Source organism: Homo sapiens, assembly GCF_000001405.40.
Source record: "Homo sapiens chromosome 9 unlocalized genomic scaffold, GRCh38.p14 Primary Assembly HSCHR9_UNLOCALIZED_CTG3".
NCBI classification, from domain to species: domain Eukaryota; kingdom Metazoa; phylum Chordata; class Mammalia; order Primates; family Hominidae; genus Homo; species Homo sapiens.
Genome location: NT_187374.1, coordinates 73,751 through 91,286, shown reverse-complemented (window position 1 = coordinate 91,286; position 17,536 = coordinate 73,751). Strand labels below are relative to the sequence as shown.

At 37.7% G+C, this 17,536-nt stretch overlaps 1 long non-coding RNA gene across 1 annotated transcript; it reads left to right on the top strand.

Annotated features, from left to right (window-relative positions):
- Positions 1 to 1,164: 1,164 nt before the first annotated feature.
- Positions 1,165 to 16,986, top strand: LOC124905322 (uncharacterized). Its single transcript, XR_007068533.1, has 2 exons — positions 1,165 to 1,957; positions 16,162 to 16,986. It is a non-coding gene; the product is annotated as an uncharacterized LOC124905322 (long non-coding RNA).
- Positions 16,987 to 17,536: the final 550 nt, after the last annotated feature.

Below are 17,536 nucleotides of genomic sequence, written 5' to 3'. Positions count from 1 at the left end.
GGCTTTGTGCTCCCAAAGCTCCCCTTGGGGTGCACTTAGCGGCTGAGGCTCACACTGAGCTCGAACCAGGGACACCAGGGTCCCCAGGTCCCAGTGCAGGGACTGATGAGAAGACACTTTCGTCCGTGGGGAATCAGGCCGCGCTTCTCTGCGGCGAAGTTTTTTTTTTCTCTGCCCCAGGTGCCTCACCTTCCCCTTATGGGCTTTCTGCCCACCTTGGGGTAACACTAGTGGCCCGAGGCGTACCCTGGGATCAAACCAGAGACGCCAGGGATGTCAGTGCCCAGCGAACGGGCTGACGAGAAGACAATTTCCTCCGTGAGGGACCCAGGCACTGCTTCTCGGCAGCGCGTTTCTTTACTTTCTCTGCCTCAGGTGCCCACCTTCCGCTCATGGACCATTTGTTCGCTTTCTGGTACCGCAAGCGGTCCCGAAGCGCACCATGGGCTTGAACTAAGGTCGTCACTGTCCACTCTGCCCAGCGTATGGCATAATGGGAAGGCACTTTCATCCATGGGGGACCCAGGCCCCGCTTGTCTGAGGCGAGGTCTCCTGTTTTTTTTTCTGCCCCTGGTGCCTCACCTCTATTCCCACAAACTTCAAATTCAACTCATGGGCCTTCTGTCCGAGTTGGGGTACCCCTAGTGGCCCGACGCGAACCCTGGGCGCCAACGACGGATGCCAGGGTCCCTGGGGACCAGCGCAAGGGCTGATGGGAAGACATTTTCGTCCGTGTATGACCCAGAAACCGCTTGGCGATGCATTTTCTTCTCTGCCCCAGGTGCCTCAACTTCCCCCCATCAGCCTCCTATCTCTCTGAACCTGCGCCGGCGCCGTGCACCTCTCTGTGCCGCCACCGTTGCTGGGGGATGGGTCCCTGAGACTTGGCGAAGTAGGAGTACTGGACTCGCGCACAGGCCCTGTCTCGCAGGTTTTCAGGTGCGCTTGGCAGTTTCCTCCGCTTTGAGGGGCAGGTCTCCAGTGGCCCCCGGGCGCAGGCCTGGACATCACTGTCCGTCTCGTCGTCGCCCACTACGGCCTCAGAGACACGGGCTCACTGCATGTGCTCTTGGGGGACGTCAGGGCCACGTGTGGTCACACTGGCTCCGGCTCGGACTACCCTCTGTCTCTCTTTGCCCGTGTCGCCGGAAGCCGCGTCGAGATGCCGGAACCCCCGGGCCTTGGAGATGAAGGCAGGCCCCTGCTCCACCCAGGAAGGAGGGAGGCAGTGGGCTCGTGGGTCAGTGCCTTTGCAGCCGACAGCACGCCTTGCGGCCCTGGGGATCTTTCTGCGCCCTGGCGAGCGCCTTTCCGCCTCACTGCATTGTAACCCCATTCCCGATCACCGGGTGGGATCCATCATCGGATCCCAAGAGGAGTCCGCGCAGCCCAGCCGGCACCCCGAAGCTCCTCCTTCACCGGGAACCCAAGCAGAAGACCGATCAAGGAGGTCCTGACGACAGGACTCCTATGGGTCCGACCCTGGGTCTCCCGCAGGCCCCTCTGGTAGTCCTCTTCCCACCCACCGCCTGGGGCTGCACCGCAGCCGCCGCCGCAAGCTCCAGCACCGCCACCCCAGTCCCCGCAGCCGCGGCGTCGCCGCCATTTTTTAAAGGGTCCGCAGCCTGACTGCCGAGTAAGGGGGGGTGGGGCGGGTGAGTCGGCCTCGCCAGCGCTCATGCGCGAGGCCCGAGCCGCCGCTTCGGTCACAGTGACCGCCACCGTTGCCAAGGGATGGGTCCCTGAGACTTGGCGAAGTGGGAGCCCTGTGTGATCGTGCGTCAGAGTCGGGGCTGAGACCAGCCCCGGCCAGGGCAGTTACCGGGACGGTCTCCGGAGGCCGGGATTCGCGGAGGGTCCACCAGCAGGAAGAAACCCCAGGAGGAAGAAACCTCAGACAGATCGCCGGGGAGGCAGCGCGGGATCCCAGCCTCAGGCGTGCGCGGACGGTGTGCGGGTGAGTCTCCCCAAAAGTGGCGGCCTTGTGATGTCGAGGACAGGTCTCGCTGTGTGCCCGTGGGCTGCTGTCTCACCGGTGGCTCGTAGTCGCGGAGAGCAGAACCCGGCAGCTTCAGGGGCTGCCTGGGGGTGGGTGTTACCTGCTGTATATCTGTGTGCGTTATGGGGGTGTGTGTGCGCGTCTGTGTGTCTGTGTGTGTGCGCGCGCGCGCAAGTGCGTGTCTGTGTGCCCACTACTGTCTCTCTCTTAAGTCTCTCTCTCTCTCTCTCTCCCTTCTCGCTCTTTCCGTCGCCCTCTCTTTCTGTCTCTGTCCGTCTGTGTGTGCGTGCGCCTTGGGACACATGTTCCCTGTGCGCCGGAGGCTGGGTTTCTTGCACGTCGGCCTTTCTTCTGGTCAGCCTCTCCCCGCGTCCCTGCCTGGGTGTTGTGGCCGGTTGGCAATCGTTTTCCCGGCGGTTCCGGTTTGGGGGTCTGTGAAGGCCTGGGCAACGTGGGCATCTGCGTGGGAGCCGCAGGGGCTTTCATTCCCTCCCCATCCGGAGCAGCCTCTTTGCTAGGCTAGATCCAGACGACCGCTCCCCAACCAAGGACAACGGCCTCCCAGGCGCTTATTGTCCACCCGCAGGAGGGTGCCCGCAGACCTTCCAGAAGATGCTTCTCACGCCTCTCGCCCTCTGCCCTCATGGAGAAATCTAGCCATAGCTCGACGCAGGGATGGAGAAGGAAGCTGTCAACGGGATGGGGCAAGCCTCTCTCTCACTCAAAGGCAGTATAGAGGTCCACCACAGAGGCATATCTAGTATGGTGCCCACCACCTCATCTTGGGGCTGGGTGAAGGGCAAGTGGCACTGCAGGAAATAGTAGCCTTGTTCTCTGTCCTCAAGTTGTTCCAAGATTGCAGCCCACACCAGTGCTTGGGCTTGTGAGAATGGAGGGCTCTCCAACAGTTCAGAAACAAGCAGTCTGCCACAGGGGTGAGAGGAGCAAAAGACACCCCCACCTATGCTTTTCCATGGAACATCAAGTCCCTCAGAGTATAATCTCTGCTGGATTTTTGCTTCCTTATTTTTCTGTGTTCAAGTTTCTTCTTGTGGTGCTCTAGCACTCCCGTCAATATAGATATTGGAATTAATGATTATTTATCCATAACTTTGCTTTCTCTTTCTGAGAATAACTAGATTCGAATATCTATAGTCAGTCATATTGAAGAAAAACCTCAGAAATATACTTCTTAGTAACTCAACACCCAAGAGCAAATCATAATGGAAATTATAAAATATTTTTAATTAAAAAATGTATACTACATTATAAAATGTGTCATTTTAGAGGAAAATGTAGAACCTTAAATTCTTATTTTATGAGGACAACAAATTAATATTTAAAATGTTCTGAATTTATTGGAAGAAGTTAGAAATATCAACAGAAATAAAAGGAAATAAAAAATACATGCATAGTGATTAAGAATACAGGGAAAGAAAAGTCAAGAAATATGGCCAAAAGTTTGTTAGTTGTTGTAGGAGCCATACAATAACAAAACTCTGGAGAAATGGCTTGATAAAATTAAGAGAAGAAACAAGTATGCAATCTCAGGAATCAAAATAGGAAATAATTATACATCAGATGTCAAGAATTTTTTTTGTTTTTTGGAAAGGATCAGGTGGTAAATATTTTAGGTTTTTGGGCTATATGGTTTGTTGCAACTAATCAATTCTATTGTTGTGGCATAAATTGACAGTATGTCAATGAATGAGCATGACAGTGTTCCAGTAATACTTTATTTATAAATACTGTCTGGCTTATTTGCCACAGTTTATTGAGTTTTGTTATAAATAATACAAATATCAAGAAGGTAAATTAGTGTAGTATGAAAACCTTCAATAAATTTGGAAATATATGTAAAATGTGTGCAATTACTTGAAACAAGCATTTTTCCAAAAGTAACCTAAAGTGAAAAGAAAAATCTGAATTGTGCTACAACAAATGCATGTAATCAGTAGTCAGAAATCATATCATAAAGATAATTTCAAGCCATGATGACTTTACTGGCAAGTTGTTTCAAAGATGAAACAAAACAATAATTCCAGTCTTACATACAATTCTTTCTGAGCATGAAACAGGAAAGAACATACTCTATTTCATTTTATTATGCTATTATGACTCTGATATTATAACCTGACAAGGATAGTAAAGGGAAAGTAAATTAAACACCAATGTAATTTATGAAAATAATGAAGGAAAACTTAAAAAAGTTCCACGCAGAAATAAGCAATGCATTAAAATGTAAGACATCACAGCCAATGTTTATTCTAAGAAACCCTGGGAAGCAATAATGGCCTCATGTAAAGGTATCAATTAATATGATACACCACAACAAATAACTTAACAATATTATAAGCATATTTAATTTTATTTTCTTAAAAAGTCATACATTTTAACAACCCAAAATTAAAAGAGAATCTAGTTTAACTAATAACATTTGTTTTCAAAAGTTCTATTGAAATTATAACACTTAACAATGGAATGTTAAAATATTTCCTTTGTGATTGGGAACAAAATAAACATAGATGGTACAAGCAATTTTATTTATCCTTTTGCAGGTCTTAGACACTGGGATAGGATTGTAAATATTAAAAAAATAAGAATTATGAAAGAGAAAACAGATTACTATGTTACCGATGACACTAAGTACACAGACAATTCAAAATGATTGTAAGATACATTATACTAATGAATATGAGCTTTTAGCAAGATGCTTTGACACAAACGTATTATGCAATATTGAAATGCATTTCATATAAGTAGAGAACTTTATTTAGATGTGTCAATGTGGCTTACTCTCACAAACATAATATTTAGTGGTATGATTAAGTCACAAAAGAATATGTACAGTATAACTCAGTTTAAATAAAGTTCAAATAAACATAGACATAACATTGACATAAATATATTCTTGAATTGAAAGACTTTAATGAAATCACTTCTCCCCAAAATTAATCTTTGTAACTAGTGCATCCAAAGTAAAACCCAGTAAGGTTTGATTTAGATATTGACAAGCTAATTCTAGAATTTATGTAAACTCTAAAAATATTAAAATTCAGTTAATAATTTATTGAGGAAGGAAGAATATATTACAGGAAATATTATAAGACTTAATTAATGCAATGTGGTATTAACAAAGTAATAAATAATCAATGAAATGGAATAGGTAGACTACAGTAAGGAAAATATAAGAACCCATGATATGTAAGAAAGCTAGTATTATAGATCAGTGGTGAAAAATAAATTTGCCAATAAATGAGAGTGAGAAAACTGGCTATACATATGGAAAATAATTAAAGAGATTCTTTACCTTATATAATATGTAACAATCAATTCCTTGGTGATCAATATTTAAATGTAAACCCAGGTAAAAATTACAGAAAACCCGACAGTAAAACAAAGAAAATGGCTTGCACATGTGCTTTATAAAATGTAAAATATAAGTGTCCACCATACATATTTAGAATCACTTTAACTTATTTTTAACACAAAAATGCAAATGAAAATGTTTTATATGTACATTATTACTTATACAACAGATTGACCAAAAACAGTCTGACAAGAAAGACTTCTGGCAAACATATAGAGCAATAATAATTTCATATGCTTTCCTGGAAATGGAAATTATATCCGTTTTAAAAAGAGGCTTGTATTACCCAGTAATATTGAAGATGACCATATATTCTAATCAGCAATTGGCTTTCACTCCTTATTTTGTATGTACGTGGTTGGCCATTAAGAAATGTGATCCAAAATATTTACAGGCTCAGTTAAGTACTATAAGCAATGTAAAAGTTAAACAACAGTAGAATGTGGTAGATTCATACAGTGGAATACTACACTTTAGAAAAACATAGATAACTTTATTTAGATATGTTAATGTGGCTTACTCTCACAAACGTAATATGCAGTGGTATGATTAAGTCACAAAAGGATATGTACAATATAATTCAGTTTAAATAAAGTTCAAGAACACAAAACAGCAAGTTGGATTGTTTATAAAATGTTTACTGGACACTAAATCTATAAAGATAATAATAGAAATTATTTTAACACATCCTTCAATTACCTTTCATTCCTCCAGAAATTTGTTGAAACCTCTTGAATGCCTATGACCTTTCTCATTTCCTCCACTGTTTAATTTCCTTTTATACTTTGTTTAAAACTTTGAATGGACATATGAGAGATGAAGTCATATTTTTCTAAATAAGTTCAAAAATATTTTGCTTTAAAATATAAGTAGTGATTAAATTTCTAAGAATTGAGCAATAGTTTAATGTTATAAATTTAGTTTTCATGAATATTTCTCTCTCCACATTTCTTCTTCTCAACTTGCTCATATCCCTTCAAATGACAAAATACTTAGAAGTATTTGAGTCAAGTTAGATATATTTTTGAAGATATTATTTGCTTATTTATCTATGAGAGGTCAACAACAACTTCCATGAATATTAGGAAAGCAAATATCGGTAGCTCTATTCACTTCAATATTGAATTCACCTATATCTGAAATTTAAATGTCAGTGATAAGACTGACAGAAAGTGACAATTTCTTTAGGTAACACAGCACTAAGTGGCAATACTTTAATATTGTCACTGTTACATTTTTCAGATATACAATATATACTTTACCAAGAATCCTAGTCTATTAAGTTCTAAGGATGAGCTGTCTTTATACAAATTCACAATAAATAGCTGTGTAAATAAGAGTTACCATTTTTATTTTATAGCATAAAATGTATTTCAAATAGTTGTACAAATCAGATATGTTATAAAAGAAACATCTTTCCTATTATTGAATTACCCAAAGTTGCTTACCTAACATAGAATCTTGTGGAGGAAAATAGGCCAGTGAAATTCAGTGATTATTCATTATGATCAAGGTGATTAGTACAGAAATCTCCATGACTATTCTGTGCAGTGTCTTTTCTTTAACAATATTTTATAATCATTCTTATTTTTACTTTCTGTAGACAAATCCTTTCTTGTTTTGCCTCCTTTTAGGTACTTTTGAGATTATAAAAGTATATAGTAAAAACAAATGCACACACAAAACTATTCGGTTGGTATACTTAATTTTGTCAGAATAGATTTAGTCCAGGTATATTCCAGTGGTATCTTACTGAAAGTCCATCCTAGTCCCCTGATTATTACTTGAGTGTTCAATGATGGTTTTTCCTTCATGTTAACAGGAAATAGTTTTGGTTTCTGCTAAAAATGGCAGTTGCCACCAGAATGTGTGAGTTTTATTTCTTAGAAAATAACTATATTTTATATTTGGTGAATATCTTAGTTTTGCATTTAATTTGCTAAGTAGAATCAATGCAATCACTATCATATTCTATAGTTTTTCCTAACAGATCGATAGAGTAAAATGTATGGTTTTTCTAATTTTTAGCATGTGTGTCCAATAAAATGACTTTATATAATTTTTTTCTTTTTGGTTCATTTTTTTTCCAGTCAAAGCTTCTTCTTTAGTTTCTCATATAATTGATTCAAAACTCCTAAGTGATGATCACAGTAACCTTAGGTATTTCTTAATTCTCCATAATAAATATAGCATCTGAGTCTAATTTCTTCTGGGAGATTTATTAACTTTTAAGATAGTATGTGTCACTTACATAATCTAACAATGCATTTTGCATACTAAAATGATGAAACATTCTTAATGAATTTAAATAGCTACTTTATCAGAAACAGGAGTCATAGGTTGAATTTTTATGTGAGTAGTAGAGCTAAGAATATTTGTAAAACAGCTCTCCATGATGGGCTCCAACAGGATGAAGTAAGACCACCTATCAAGGAAGTAAGATCAATCCCAAAATGAACTGTACATGAAATTCTGCTCTAAGATCTTTTTGCTTTTTAACATGATTTCAGAAAAGGCTAATTTTTGTAATGGACTACAATACTTGTTTTGCTACATAAGCTTTCAGGATTTTTTTTCTTTTATTTTTATTTTAAAATTAATTTTTGAGCAGCATTCTTGACTGCAAGAAAGCTTCTGTCAGTTTCCCAAATTACTCAAATAACATGTATTTTACACTGAAAATCATGAGCTCCTTAACTCAAAGCTTTTCCTTGTTGTTTTTGTAACTATTTACCATACAATTACTTGTAAATGAAATGTATAACATAAATATGCGCTAACATAAAGGGAAATGTTTAAATATTTTTTAAACTTCTGAAAAAAGATAAAACTCTCCGTTTTTAAGAACATTGTATCTTTCATTTTATCCTTCTTTCTCCTCCAAATATATTAATAACTATCCTTCTATTTGTTACATTCTTTTACTTAAAGGGACTAAAGTATAAATCAGGTAATTAATACACAAAACTTTATTCTGTCCCTTGCTTGTAGCACTACTTCATTCCAGTTTCCTCAGAGTTTATTATATAAATCAGACAGATTTGTAAATAAGTATTTTACAGTCTACATTTATTTGATTATGAAAATGGAAACATAGAATAAAATGTGAACAGATAATAAGCTTTACTTGTGTGTTTCTCCATCTTTTCAAGTTGATCAGGTATATGGATGGCATTTTAAATAATGTGTTAAATTTAGAGAATACATTAAATAGAAAAGAAAATTGTGGGAAATAGGAAAGCCTTTCCATTAAGGGTTTAGATATAAAATGTTCTATTCAGTTACAAACTGAACCTAAAATGAGAGGTTTTTTTTTGTTTAACTGAAAGAGCTAGAGAGTAATTAAAGGTAATTTGCATGTTATTATTCTTAAAAGGTTCGCTTTTCTGTTCTAAGAATACCAGGGAACAATTGAATAGATAAAAAGCAAACTATAAATTGCCAAATAGATCTTTTGTATAATAATACATCTCCCAAGACAAAAGATATTTCAGACCCATAAAAAATAAGGGAAGTGTATTTGCCCGACTGGTCTTGCATCTTGCCTGACCACAATGAATTTGCATCAGATTTTAAACTCACAGAGTTATAAAATATCTTAATGTGTTAAGAGGGAACCAAAAGTGAATGTGATTAACTTGAAGGAACTAGTTGGCAGACTTTAACATTAGGCTAGCAGAAACTATTTAATAAATAAAACTGAAAGCAGAAAAATACTTTTCTTAAATAATTATTAGTGGCAGATTGATACTGTTAATATTATTGATTCAGTCTGGGAAGTCCTCCCTCTTGCCCTTTCTCTACCCAGATCTTGCATTCTTTTGCAAAATAAGAACAATACAAACTCATTATTATTATTATTATTTTATTATTTTATTTTATTTTATTTTTTTTGGAGACAGAGTCTCGCTCTATCCCCCAGGCTGGAGTGCAGTGCCGTGATCTTGGCTCACTGCAACCTCCGCCTCCCGGGTTCACGCCATTCTCCTGCCTCAGCCTCCCGAGTAGCTGGGACTGCAGGCTCCCGCCACCATGCCCGGCTAATTTCTTGTATTTTGTTTAGTAGAGACGGGGTTTCACCGTGTTAGCCAGGATGGTCTTGATCCCCTGACCTCGTGATCCGCCCGCCTCGGCCTTCCAAAGTGCTGGGATTACACGTTTGAGCCACTGCGCCCAGCCACAAACTCATTAAGTCACTTATTTACTACTCTATTCCTCAATGAACTCTTTTGTAGACTTCTACCCCATCTATAACCAATGCAGTGGTACTCCTCCCTCTCATATTTAGTTTCTCAGCTCAAGTAAGACTTCCTCAGAGGTTTAATCTAATTAATCTTAATCTAATTAAAATAGAAACCCTTACCCATTTATTCTGTCCAAAGCAACGTTTCCCCTCCCCTCCCCTTCCCCTCCCCTTCTCTTCCCCTTCTCTTCCCCTTCCCTTCCACTTCCTTTCCTTCCCCTTGCCTTCCTTCCTGCCTTCTTTCTTTTCCTTCTTTCTGTCTTTTCTAATACAAGGCTTGACCACTGGGATAAAATTGTCAAAATGTAAAAAGGAGATAATTAAAAAATAAATAGTACCTAAGTAGTATGCTAAAACATACATGGGGCAAGATCATCTTTGCATTTTATCCTTGGGTGCATTCTGGACCACCTTAATTTTTTTTTTTTCCTAAGACAGAGTCTCTCTCTGTCATGCAGGCTGGAATGCAGTGGCACCATGATGACTCACTACAGCCTCCACCTCCCAGGCTCAAGTGATTAATCTTAAATAGTGCAATTATTCTATTTAATCACAAATGTCAGCATCTCTTTTCTTTAGTTTTGGCACATGATTTTCACCTTTTATCCTCTCTCTCTCTCTCTCTCTCTCTCCATGCTTCATTATATTAGTTCCCTAGGCTATCACAACAAATTGACACAAACTAAATGACTTCAACAACAGCAATGTATTCTAAAACAGTTCTAGAGGCTAGAAGTCCTAAATACAGTGGGGCCACACTCGCTCTGAGGTCCCTAGAGAGAATCCATTCTGTGGATCTTCCAGCTTCTGGGGGCTGCCAGCATTCCTTTACTCATGCCAGCATTCCTTTTCCCCAGCTTCTGGGGGCTGCGCCACTCCAATCTCTGCTCCCTGGTCACATTGCCTCCTCTTCTGTGTGTCAAGTCTCCCTCTGACTCACTCTTAAAAAAACATTTGTCAGGCCAGGCACAGTGGCTCATGCCTGTAATCCCAGCAATTTGGGAGGCCGAGGAGGGCGAATAACTTGAGGTCAGGAGTTTGAGACCAGCCTGGCTAACATGGTGAAACCCTTCCTTGAATAAAAGTACAAAAATTATCTGGGCATGATGGCAGGCGCTTGTAATCCCACTCCTCAGGAGGCTGAGGCAGGAGAATTGCTTGAACCCGGGAGGCAGAGGTGGCAGTGAGCAGAGATCGCACCACTGCACCCCTCCAGCCTGGGCGAAAGTACAAGACTCCATCTCAAAAAAAAAAAGAACATTTGTCATTGAATTAGAGACCCGTGAGTATATTTCAGAATAAGCCCCTTCCCTTAAAGTCCTTAACTTAATCACAAGCATTGCCGTATAAGGTAATATTCACTGTTTAACGTGTCATTATATTCAAAGATTCCAAGGATTAACGCGTCACATATCTTTTAGAAAAAACTATTCGGCCTACTAAACTCGATGAATCTTCATCTATTGAGACTCAGGCCGAATCAGATAAAAAGCTTTACAATATTCCACACCTCTCTCTACACGTGTTAAAAACAAGGAGAAAGAGTTTCTCTTAAAATTTTAAGTTCACTAAAAATAGAACAAAAGCAGAAACAATTGAGGTTTTTGTGGTTGTTGCTGTTTGTGTCTTTATTTTTAAAGATTCTACTTTGTACCATATACGCATGGTAAATTATTCATTATCATATCTGCTCCTTTTTTTTCATTTGAAGTAAACAGATTCCATGGAAAATATTTAAATTCCCAGGCATTGTTAGTTGTAGAGCTCATAAAATGTTCAATGCTTCAGTGAGTTGCAAATTGAAAACAGAAATAAATTCTTGGAGAAAAACTTGACAGTATTCTACACACTTTGCTCTTGATTGATGTCATGTGGTGATTCCAATAAATGACTTTTTTCAAACAACTTAAACTATAACTGATTTAAGTAAATGGGGGTGCAATGGTTCTTTCTTATATATCTCATCTGCTGAGATGCTATACACAGAATTTCAATCATCTTACCCTATGATTTTTCAAAGGTATATAAGAATGAATAATAATATTATTATAATAATATTATTCATTATTATTTATTCTAAAAATAAAAATAATTATAATATTCATTATTCTAAAAATAAATTTTTGTTTATTATTAATAAAATAACATTATAAGGATACATTTATTTATTACAATCATGAAAATATTTAAAATGTACCATTTTCTAGGTAGTAAACTAGTGCTTCACATATTTTTGTTTATTTAATCTTTATTTTTATAAGTCAACAACTATAGACATTATTTTATATTATTTATACTTTATAAAATATAATAAAGACATTTTAAAATATATATCAAATATATATTATAAAGTATTACATTATAAAATACTATATTTTATAAAGTAGATGACTATCGATATAGTCATTATATAGATGAGTAAACTGAGGCATATTGTTTCTGTAAAAACCTCAAGAGCGCACATAAAATAAATGCTGCAGACAATGAGCCAAAATCATACTAAGGATTTTGCTTCCAGAAGCTGCACTCTTAACTACTAGGCTCTAATGCCTCTTTTTATATAAATGATATCATACTGTTCTCTTTTGATCTGGCTTCTATTAATTAGCATATTTATTGAGATTAATCTATTTTATAGTATGGATGAAAGTTTCATTTCTTTTATTGCTTGTAGTATTTCAAAATATGGATATATCAAAGCTTGCTTATTCATTTATCTGTTAATGAATATTTGATTGTTACATGCTCTTCACTATTAGCCCCTCTCTCCCATAAAAAAGTGCTGTGAATGTTTTGGTACAAGTTTTTTATGTACATATACTTTCATTTCCCTACAAATTGATTGGCAGTCATATGATAGGTGCATACGTCAAAATATTTTAAAAACTGACAAGGCTTTTTCCAGAGTCATTGTACTAATTTCCTTTACCATTAGCAGTGCATGTATGTTGGTTGTCCTCTATAGTTTTGCCAACACTTGGCATGGCCAGCCTTTTTAACTTTAGCCATTCTTTTTTCTTTCTTTCTTTCTTTTTTTTTTTTTTTTTTTGAGATGAAGTTTCACTCTTGTTGCCCAGGCTGGAGTGCAATGTGCAATGGCACAATCTCGGCTCACTGCAATCTACACCTCCTGGGTTCAAACAGTTCTCCTGCCTCAGCCTCCCAAGTAGCTGGGATATAGGCGCACATCACCATGCCCAGCTAATTTTTGTATTTTTAGTAGAGATGGGGTTTCCCCATGTTGGTCAGGCTGGTCTCGATCTCTTGACCTCAGGTGATCCACCCACCTTGACCTCCCAGAGTGCTGTGATTACAGGTGTGAGCCACTGTGCCTGGCCTCTTTTTTTCTTTTTTGAGATGGGTTCTTGCTCTGTCACGCAGGCTGGAGTGCATTGGCACAACCATAGTTCACTGCAGGCTCCACCTCCTGGGCTCAAGTGATTCTCCCACCTCAGCTTCCGAGTAGCCGGTACTACAGGCATGTGTCACCATGCCTAGCTAAATAGAGACACCATGCCATGTCTTTTTCTTTTTTGTAGAGACAGGATCTCACTACGTTGCCCAGGCTGCTCTCTAACTCCTGGGGTCAAGAAACCCTGCTGCCTTGACCTTCCAAAGTGCTGGGATTACATGCTTGAGCAACTGTACCCAACCCATTTTTGACAGACACAGATCAATTCCCTAATGACTAATGATATTGAGGATCTTTCCATGTGTTTACTTTCTATCTACATATGTTCTTTAGGGAAGAAGTATTCATTTAAGCCATTTGCCTACTTTTATTAGAGTTACTACATTTATTATCAAGTTTTGAGAGTTCTTATATTTTCTGGACACAACTTTTTTGCCAGACATATATTTTGCAAATATTGTTCTCAGTAGTGTCTTATATTTCTATTTGTTTTACAGTGTTTCCTGAGGAACATATGTTTTACATTTTGATGAACTCGAGTTGTCAATTTCTACTTTGATGAAACCTGGTGTTTGTGTCATGTCTAAGTAGTATTGAGGTCAAAGACTTTTCTATATTTTCTCCTATACGTAATTTTTCTTCCTTTTTTTCACTTTGTTTTTACATTTTACATTTAGGCATATGATCTGTACTAAATTAATTTTTGTATCATGAGTTACGTGTTAAAGTTCTACTTTTTGCATATGAGCATCTAATTGTTCCAGCAGAATTTGTTGAAGGGCTATCTTTTATTTACTGAATTACCTTTGTATCTTTGGAGAACACCAATTTACCAAAATTCTGTACATATATTTCTGAATTTTCTATTATCTTCCAATGACATTTCTGTCTATCTTTATGCCAATATCACACTATTTTCATTACTGTAGCCTTATAAGCTTTGGCATTAGATTGTGCTAATCCTTCAAAAATATTCTTATTTTTAAGAATTATTTTGGCTATTTTAGACTCTTTGCATTTCTACTGAAGTTTTAAAATTAGTGTGTAAATTCCTATAAACAATGCCTAATAATATTTTAATTGGGATTGTATTGAATCTATATTTAGGGATAATCACATTTTACCATGTGAATTTTCTAACCCATATTCATATTACATCTTTCCATTTATTTAAGTCTTCTTTAACTTTCTGCAGTGTTTTGAGTTTTAGTGTACCAGACTCACATCATTTGATAGATTAATTCCTAATTCTTCTACATTTTTCATGATATTATTAATAGTACTTTTATTTTAATTTTTTATTGTTCATTGCTGGTATATGGAAATATTAGTTTAATATGTTGCTTTTTTTCTTTTTTATGTTGCTAACTCACTTATTATAGCCAGCAGTGTTTTTGTAGATTTCAGTGGACTTTCTACATAGACATGCCGTCTATAAATAAAACCAATCTACATTTTCCTTTCCCATCTGTAATTCTTTTGTTTATGTTTTTTGTCTATTTTACTTGGTAGAACGTCTAGTGGAATGTTAAAACAAAGTGCTAAGAGTTAATGGACTCATCTTGTTCCTGAAATAGGGGGAAATAAACTGATTTTTCTTCATTAAGTATGATGCCAGCTATTGTTTTTACATAGATATCTTTTATTAGGATATTCTTGAATTTCTTCTAGACAGTAATAACTTAGATCTTGTTTTATTGATCCAATCTGCTTTTAAATTGGTATATTTAGACCATTTATATGTAATGTGGTTATGTGTGCATATATATATTTTTTTCTTTTTTTTTTTTTTTTTTTTTGAGACAGAGTCTGGCTCTGTTGCCCAGGCTGGAGTGCAATGCGATGATCTTGGCTCACTGCAACCTCTGCCTCCTGGGTTCAAGCCATTCTCCTGCCTCAGCCTTCTGAGTAGCTGGCATTACAGGTGCCCACCACCATGCCTGGCTAATTTTTTGTATTTTTAGTAGAGACAGGGTTTCACTATGTTGGCCAGGCTGGTCTCGAACTCCTGACTTCATGATCTGCCCACCTCAGTCTCCCAAAGTGCTGGGATTATAGGCGTGAGCCACCGCACCTGGATATTTTTAGTTTTAAACCTATTATTTTGCTTTTGCTTTCTATCTTTCCTGAAGGAATTCAGAACCAGATACCCCGAAACGTGCCACTTTGGCATATTGATTTTTTTGAGTTAAAGACACTTGAAAAATAGCAGATGCAAGAAAAGCACTCTGATTTTCCTTTAAAGCACTCTGACTTTCCTTTAAAGCACTCTGATTTTCCTTTAAGGCACTCTGATTTTCCTTTAAAGCACTCTGATTTTCCTTTTTCTTAAAAGTAGGAGGTAAAATTTCTACATGAAAGTTGCCCTCTTTATACAAGAAGGAAAGTAACAGTCTCATCACCCAGGATGAGAAGTTGAGGCAAGGGAAACCTGTACAAACATACCTTGTTAAACCAACCCTTATCCTGTTAATCACCTCTTCACCCAATTAACTACACTAGTTCCAGCTCCTTTGTCTTGTCATATTTCACAATTTACTACTCTGTGTCTACTTCAGAACATAAGTGATTATGTCATGGAGTCTTCCTTCCTTAAAGAATCTCTCATGCCACATAATGCATGTATTAAATAAATTTGTATGCATTTTCCTGTTGATCTGTCTTATATCAATTTAATTCTCAGGCTTAGCAGAGGAAAAAAAAAAAACTAAGAAGATGGTAATAAAATTTTGCTTCCCCTACCATCCCATCTGTTTTTTGCTTATTTTCCCTCTTGTTTGCCTTCTTTTCTATGAATTAAATATATTTTACGGTTTCATCTTATCTCCTTTTTTACTTGAGAATTAAAACTCTCTATATTGTTAATTTTAATGGTTGCTTTTGAGTTTGTAGTATACATGTTTAACTCATCACATTCTACCTTCAAATTATAATATACTACTTTACATACAGTATCATGAATAACAACATTTTCATTATTTTATCCTAACTGTTGTTCTGTTATTGTCATGTGATTTATTTTTATATATGTTTTAAACTCATTATAAATTGTTATTATTCTTGTTTAAATTAGAGGTTAATAATGTTGTTTTCTTCTCTCTCTCTCTTTTTTTTTTTTTTTTTTTTTTTTGAGACAGAGTCTAGCTTTGTACCAGGCTGCAGTGCAGTAGTGCCATCTCAGCTCACTGCAACCTCTGCCTCCCGGGTTCAAGAGATTGTCCTGCCTCAGCCTCCCGAGTAGCTGGGATTACAGGCACATGCCACCACACCCAGCTAATGTTTGTATTTTTAGTAGACACAGGGTTTCATCATGTTGCCCAGGATGGTCTCAATTTCCTGACCTCGTGATCCGCACATCTCGGCCTCCCAAAATGCTGGGATTACAGGCATGAGCCACCAGAACCGGACATGCTTTCCTTAAAAGCTAAATATTTTAGGCTTGTGTGCCATTAGGCTCTGTTACAACTACTTAATTCTGCTTTTGTAATTCTATAGCACCCATTGATAATACATAAACAAATGAGCATGAATGTATCTCAGTAAAAATTTGTTCACATAAACAGGCAGTCCACCCATGAAGCTATAGCTTGCTGACCCCTTGTTTAAACAATCAATTGAATTCAAACAGAAATAAAAGGATCTTATATATTTAACCATGTTGATACCATTTCCAGTGCTTTTCATTCTTCTATGTAGATCCAAATTTCCTTTTGATATTATTTTACGTCTGCCTGAAACATTTTCTTTAACATTTTTTATAGTGCTGTTTTACTGGTGATGATTTATTTCAGGTTCTAAGTGCCAGAACAAAATCTTTATTTCACCTACATCTTGAAAGATAGTTTCTCTGAGTCTACAATTTCCAGCTGACAATGTTTATCTTCCAGTACTTTAAAGATGTTGCTTCATTATCTTCTAATTTTCTTTGTTTCCAATAAAATGTTTGCTGGCATTTTTTGTTCCTCTGTGCAAACCGTGTTTTTGTCATTGGCTGCTTTGAGAATTTTTCTTTATCACTAGTTTTAAGCAATTTTATTTTAGTGTATTTTGTGCACAAGACAAGGATGCCCTCTCTCACCACTCCTGTTCAACATAGTATTGGAAGTCCTTGCCAAAACAGTTAGGCAAGAGAAAGAAATAAAGGTACCCAAATAGGAAGAAAGGACGTCAAACTATCCTTGTCTGTAGATTACATGATCCTATATGTAGAAAACTTTATAGGCCCAAAAGCTTAAGGCCCGAAAGCTCCTTAAGATGAAAAACACCTTTGGCAGAGTCTCAGGATACAAAAAGAACATACAAAAATTACTCGCATTCCCATACACCAACAAGAGTCAAGCGGAGAGCCAAATCAGGAATGCAATCTGATTCACAATTGCTGCAAAAAGAATCAAATACCTAGGAATACAGCTAACTAGTGAGGTGAAAGATCTCTGTAAGAACTAAAAACACCAAAGATATCAGAGAGGATGAAACAAATGAAAAAACATTCTATGCTCATGGATAGGAAGA